This window comes from Homo sapiens, chromosome Y (assembly GCF_000001405.40).
Source record: "Homo sapiens chromosome Y, GRCh38.p14 Primary Assembly".
Taxonomy (NCBI): domain Eukaryota; kingdom Metazoa; phylum Chordata; class Mammalia; order Primates; family Hominidae; genus Homo; species Homo sapiens.
The window spans coordinates 23,527,478-23,535,159 of NC_000024.10; positions in this window are offsets into that span (position 1 = coordinate 23,527,478).

The following is a 7,682-nucleotide window of genomic DNA, read 5'->3' on the forward strand; positions in this document are numbered from 1 at the left end:
AGGGTCCTGCCATCTTTCCCAGCAGCAGGATAATGGGAAGGGAAAGAGCTGGAACAGACAGAGCAGAGGCCACAAACCTCACCCTCCCACATGGCAAGGGAATGAGGGGATCCTTCCCAGCCCAGGGAGCTGCTTCCCGAACACACCTAGAAACCCAGCACCAGCTGAGCAATTCACTCTGCCACAGCTGGGCATGGCGGATTTCAATGCCAGAGAACTTGATCCTGGTTGTAGAAGGTGTACCTCTCCTTCAGGTCACATTATGCTGACACCCTCCTTAACCCAGATGGACTCCTTGTCCTCACTACATGGTGTTGGCTGGAAGTGTTACTCCTGGTGCCCCAGCCGCTGTTTCAAGTTGCAGAGACTGACCAGCAGACCCCTGAGTCCTTGTCCTCCTGTCCAAGTCATATCCATAGAAATAGTAAAATAGTGGCACATTAGACCTCATGACATTTTTAAGGCTGACCTCTTTATAAGCATTTCATGCAGATATTTATGAGTTTATCTCATTTATTTTATTTATTTATAGCTCTCATTTCAAAGTCAATTTTTCCGTAAGAATTATTTCAACATACAACCAAATGTTCAGAGCTATGACATCTAGGTTTTAAGCTTAAAAGTCTGTATCTGCTATTATGCTTGGTAAAACCCATCCAGCACTTATAAAAATAAGTAATTATTAGGCATCGCCATTGTACTGGTCGAAAACACTGAAATTCTCTGCAAACCCATTTGAAAATATTCCTGATGGGACTGAACACAGCACTTGCTTCTAATGAATAGAAAACAGTGCAAGCATTTTCTGGATACTGGGCCACTTCTGGCCTAGGTTAGAAAAGGTATCACAGCTCTGCCTAAGTCTCCTGCTCTCATGGGGCCAAACTCCTCAGGAGCCCCTGACGAGTATATCACGAAGTCTAACACCCTGATAACACTATGCAGAAGGGACATCCCATGGAGAGACTCATAGAAATAGAATGAGATGCCCGAGAATCTCAGCAGTCCAGCCCCACTATTTGAGTTATGCTAGCCGTGGCACCAGGGAGATGAGAAGACACCTGACAATGTCACCGTCCTGAGCCATCATTAGATTGCATCCTCCTGAGTGCCCCTGAACCACAATCATTTGGCTGAGAGACTGTGGAAGACTGCAGAGACTGAAGTTAGTAAATTATAATTATTGTTTTAAGCCATTAAGTTTTACATAATTTTGAAAAGCACTTTAGACTCCTAGAAAAACTGAGTTGTCTACTGATTTGAGTAATTACGGAGAGCTTTAAAGGCCAATGCCACGAATGCTAATACCCTGGAAAAGCCAAACCATCGAGACTCTTCTAAACACAAACAGATCTTTAATGTCCCCTTGCTATGGCTGGAGAATAATCTAACATGTATCTGATGGAGTTTTTTGAAAGCCTCTGTTCACATCTCCTGGCTGGGTATGGGTCAACTCTGGTCTGCTTTAATGCTAGTCAACTGCAGCAACTCGTCTTTCATTTTAGGTCCTGGCCTACACTGATCTTTTGATCACTGACTGTATGTATGTTTTGAGTACTACCATATTTTATCCGAAGGGGCTAAATAATAATGCTATAGTTGTTTTGTAAACATAAAGCATTCCAGGAAGATAATATTGCTAATCAACTGAGCTTTAAAACAGATATGAGGCAGGGCACGGAGGTTCACACCTGCACTCCCAATAGTTTGGCAGGCCAAGGTGGGTGATTTCTTGACGTCAGGAGTTTGAGACAAGCTTGGCCAACACGGTAAAATCCCATGTCTAATATCATACCAAAGCTAACCGGGTGTGGTGGCCCATGGATATAATCCCAGCTACTTGGGAGGCTGATGCAGGAGAATCCACTGAACCCCGGGGAAGGAGTTTGCAGTGAAGTGAGATCACACCACTGCACTCCACCCTGGGCACCAGAGCGAGACTCTGTCTCAGGAATAAAAATAAAATAAAATAAAAAATAATAAAAGAGATAGGAGAAATGACTGAGGAAAGAAATGCATAAAACTTGGTGGGCATTGTGGCTCATGCTGGGAATCCCAGCATTTTGAGGGGCTGAGGTGGGTGGATCACTTGAGGATGGTAGTTTGAGGCCAGCCTGAGCAAACATTGTAAAACCTGGCCTCTACTAAAAATACAATTAAAAAAAAAAAAGCCAGGATTGGTGTCATATACCTGCAGTCACAAGTACTCAGGAGGGTGTGACTGGAGAATTGCTTGAACCCAGGATGGGGAGGTTGCGGTGAGATGAGATCATGCTACTGCACTCCAGCCTAGGCAACAGAGTATGGTTTCACCTAAAAAAAAAATCAAAGAGAGAAACAGAGATACAGAAAAATAAGAAGGAAGGAAGGAAGGGAGGGAGGGAGGGAGGGAGGAAGAAACAGAGACAGAGGGATGGAGGAAGGAAGGGAGAGAGGGAGGAAGGAAAAAAGGAAGGAAGGAAGGAAGGAAGGGGAGAAAGGAGAGAATGAAAGGCATAAAACCAAAGGAAATGAATAAAAATAGAAGCTTGCCATTTTGCCCATTATCCACATCAATTCTGAACTATGTTTAAAATAATATTTTGGTGTCTAGTGGACTAACTGAAAGTTTAAAATAAGCTGGTTTATATTGTCAAAATTATTCATGTAACTACGCTGTTAACTAAGATTCTTGTAGTTTTCAACAACCAAGTCTAATTGACATTTGTCATCAAATCGCATACTATTAGGGGCAGGGTAGTCTGTGTTACGCTGCCTAATCTACACTAAATTAAAAATGAAACCAAATCTGCAAAAGATTTTATAGTTACTATTATCAGTAAAAACTGTTTTGTTTCCTGATTTGTGGAGGGTTTTATTTCCACAGTTTTGATGGCTCTGGCAGAAAGACTTCCTGATCCAAATTCACCCCTTATCATCATCACAGTATATACATGTTCAGGGATTACGGGGAAAGAGCATCTAATCCTACTGCTTTCCTGCGTTGGTTCCCATACACAAGCAAATGTCCTGTGTTAGTGACTATCAAATATTCATTTATTTGATCAAGGAAATTTGTGTTTCCAAACTGTAAAACAAAAATATTACTATCAGTTGTATTTTTCTTATTTATTTACTTAGAGGCAGGGTCTTGCTCTGTCACCGGGCTGAATCATACATCACTGTAGTCTCAGACTTTTGGGCTCAAAGCATCCTCCAACATCAGCTTCTCAAAGTACTGATATTACAGACTTGAGCCATTGTACCCAGCCTCAAGTTTAGAGATAAAGGTTAACGAATATATTGTAAACCATACAAATAAACATAATTGCAGATTCTCTAAAGAGCTGTAAGAAACCACTGAAAAGATGCCATTGTGGACAGGGTTGCTGGCAACAATGTAATGCAAGCAAAGGCGTGGGTCCTTCCCCACTGATCCTTCGGATGATACCAGAGGCTGGCCTGGCATTTCCACTGCAGCTTTTTGAGGGAACATGAAACACAGGTGTGTGCCTGTGTGTGTGTGTGTAAGCATACATACACAACCAGTTGAACAAACTGGGATCACCCACACAATGGAATATGATGCAGTTCTTTGTAGATCTGGTAGAATTCATCCGGAATCTATCGGTTCCTGGGCTTTTTTTTTTTTTTTTTTGGCTTGTAGGTTATTTATTACTAATGATTCCATTTCAGAAATTGAAATTGGACAAGCTGAAGCTGAGACTGTGTCCACTTAGATTCTGTTGCAGAACACAGAATGGAATGCCTGTAATTTTGGCTGTGATGGTTACTGGAAGGTCTCTGCACGGTTGAGCTAATTTTCTGCCTGCCGCAGAAGGGCCTGGGGCTGACAATCAGGTCCCTTGACACCCGCTGTTGAACAGATCATTTAGAGCCTGGTCTCTCCTAAGAAAGTTGCATATTGCCCAGAAAGTTTCTCAAGGATTATAGAGTTCCCTGACTAAAGTGGAAAGGCCAGAGCTGAGAGTGGGTCATCCCTATAGGGGACAGAGGCTGGAGAGTCTAGATCCATTTTCTGCTGGACAGAGCCTGGACAGCCTACATTCATTAGCTCAGACAGGCCCTTTCCCCAGCAGGGTAGTTGCTTCCCAACAGCAGTGGGAGGGGCTGGAGCCGAGACTGGAATTCTGTTTCTCAATAAAGTCATGTGCTCTAGGGATTCTAACACCCTGGTGATTTCCACTAGATACATCAGAAGTGAACTTCCTTCCAGGGGTACCAAGACTTATCATATAAGCTACTTGCCCACTGGGTCCAGGTAGGGCCAGAAACTTCATCCTTAACCACTAAATTGCCTCTGCTTTTCAGCCTGGGGATGGGTGGAGCACACAGGGCTAGGATGGTCAAAAGTATGGCAGCTGGGAATGGGTGGGGTCACATGACCCTTCCGTGGATAATCACCAAGCTGCCTCTTTGTCACAGCCTTGGAAGTTTTGCAGAGAAAACCAGGGTGGGATTTGGCAGTTGGCCAGTGATTTGAGCCTGGCAGACCCATTAACCATGTTTGGTTGCTGCAGAATGATGCTGTTGCCTAGTTTTTCTGATGGTGCAACTCTGCTGGCTGGAATGCAAAGCCATGAGTAAGATTACTGTTATGGTCACTGTGAGCCCCATCCATGTACTTTGTTTCTAATTGACCGCCATTGTCCGATACCCCCACTGTTTCCCACAGGGTAAGACTAGAGAGAACTTCATGTGACGAATTGCAAAATGGAAAAGAAAGGACAGAATGTACATCTTCAACGCTCTCCTCTGTGAAGAAACTTGAGTTCAGGGGAATTTTTTGTATGCAACATTGTGCTGGCTTGGGGAGGAGAAAAAGCATCAAATTAAAACTGTTCTTTTATCCTATCTGTGTGGCTATTCTCAGTTCTACAGTCAAAAAAATGTGTCAGAGATCCAATCCCAAGCTATAGAATCATTCACTCAGGTGTCCGTATCTAAGGATAGTTGTGAGTTGAGGTTTTTTGCAGAGAGGGTGGGAATTAGTAGAGTCACAGAATGCCTGTTCTGTCGCATCAGACCCTAGAAACAGGCAAGTTAAAAGTCTGGTCCAGGCTGAGCACAGTAGCGCAGACCTGTAACCCCAGCATTTTGGGAGGCCGAAGCAGGCATATCATGAGGTCAGGAGGTCAAGACCATCCTGGCTAACAAGGTGAAATCCCCTCTCTACTAAACATACAAAACAAAACAAAAATTAGCCAGGCCTGGTGCCATGTGCCTGTTGTCCCAGCTACTACTCAGAAGGTTGAGGCAGGAGTATCTCTTGAACCCAGGAGGTGGAGGTTGAAGTGAGCTGAGATCATGTCACTACACTCCGACCTAGGTGACACAGTGAGACTCAATCTCAATAAACAAACAAATAAATAAAAATGAAAACAACAACAAAATACTGTTCCTAAGGGAGGAGTTTAAAAGGTTGGGTGCTTCCATGGAGAAGCTGAAAGGTAGAGCAATCCAAGGGTTGGGTATAAGGAAGAGCTCATGGGACCTCTGAAAACCACCTCTTTGTCCCGTATGGAACACAAGAAATAGTGAATGCTGATCTCCACTGCTTACTGATATAGGCAAGTTACCAGCCAGAGATACACGTCTTAGTCTCTTTGTGTTCCTATAAAAGAATATGAGACTGGAAAATTTATAAAGAAAAGATCTTTCATTGGCTCCTGGTTCTGCAGGCTGTAAAAGATCTGTGGTGCCAGCATCTGCATCTGACGAGAACCTCAGGAGGCTTCCACTCATGACAGAAGGTAAAAGGAAATAAGCCATGTCACATGTGGAGAGAGCAAGAGAGAGAAGGGGAGAAGGTAATCAGGCACTTCTCAACAACCTATTTGGATGTAAGCTGCATTGTGGGAACTAATAGAGCGGAAAACTCACTTATTAACCATGGCGAGGGCACCAAGCCATTTATGAGGCATCCATCCCCATGACACAAACAAACAGCTCACACTAGGTGCCATTTACAGTGTGGAGGACCACATTTCAACCTGAGGCTTGGAGGGACAAATGTTCAAACTATATGAATAGGGAAGTTTAAAAATCATGCTGAGTTTTCACAAAACAATCCTTTTTCCTCTTTAGAATCTCGAGATTACAAAAAGCTGGGATTCATTAGCTTCCCGAGATTGGCAAGATGGTATTCAAAATCTTAGTCATCACCCTGAGAAGTCAGGGCAATAGTTGGGTAGTTTGACTTCTTGGAAGGAAAATTTAGAAGCTCAGTATATTGCTAGAGTGAGTGATGATGAAGACTGATGAGAAATGCCTACGTGCCTGCTCTCAGAGGACCCTGACAGATACAAAAGTCAGGAGGGTTAGAAGCAAGATACCTGGGCAGAAGCTATAAAAGTCAAGACATGGCTGGATGTGGTGGGTCACGCCTGTAATCCCAGCATTTTGGGAGGCCAAGGTGGGTGGATCACCTGAGGTCAGGAGTTTGAGACCAGCCTGACCAACATGGCAAAAACTTGTCTCTACTAAGAAATACAAAAGTTAGCCTGGCATGGTGGCAGCCACCTGTAATCCCAGCTACTTGGGAGGCAGAGGTTGCAGTGAGGCGAGATCGTGCCATTGCACTCCAGCCTGGGCAATAGAGCAAGACTCCATCTCAAAAGAAAAAAAAAAGTCAAGACGTTAGATGTACAATAGAAGTTCTTTGAGGTACAAAGTGGGAGCTGAGCTTTCTTGACTGCTTGACATCCAGTAAGCCAGGAGGAAACAGTTTCAGAAGTGCTTGAATGTCTATTTAAATCCCTCTTTTATCTTGGAGGTCCTAGGAGAGTTATGAATGCCAGTCTGTGTTAGAATCCAGAGATAGGCAAGTGAGGAATCATTTCATTGAGAAGCAGCTGTTAACAGCTGGGGCTTTACATATGTGGATTAATACTTCAGTTCTCTGAGAGAAGCTGTGAAATAACAGTTCCCTATTGATTCTAGGGCAATGTGTCAGAGATAAACGCTAGAAAAAGATCATGATTCAGTTTTTCTTACCTTTTTTTAAGTAAGTATTTTCATAACCCTACATGCAAGAGTATCCCAACTTGTTTGTAAGTTTATCTCATAGGGAATTGATGTGGGTGTGGCTCTTTATTTGTTGCATTTGTGGATGGAGGAACAAATTAGAGCCTCCTATTTTATCACTTTGTTGGAGATACCCTTTTTTATTAATTTTTACTTATTTAAAAAATTTGTACGTAAAAGTTGTAGGTATTTTTGGCATACATGTGATATTTTGATACAAGTAATGTGAACTGGTAAGCGAGGGATCAAAGAGGGGATGGGGGTGGGTTAAATTATACTTGCTTAGAAGGAATAATATCTAGTGTTCAGTGGCACAGGATGACTACACTTAATAATGATTTATTGTACATCTCAAAATAATTAATAGAGCGAAGGTGGAATGTCGCTGATACCAAGAAAAGATACGCCAGACTCAGTGAGGTGGAATGTCGCTCATAATGAGAAAAGATATGCCAGACTCAGTGGCTCACGGCTATAATCACAACACTTTGGGAAGCCAGGGAAGGAGGATTATTTCGGTCTGGGAGTTTGAGACCAGCCTGAACAATATATCCAAAGCATTGTCCCTACCACACACACACAAACACAAAAGCTGGGCACGGTGGTTGGTGTGTGTCTGTAATTCCAGCTACTTGGGAGGCTGAAATGGAAGTCTT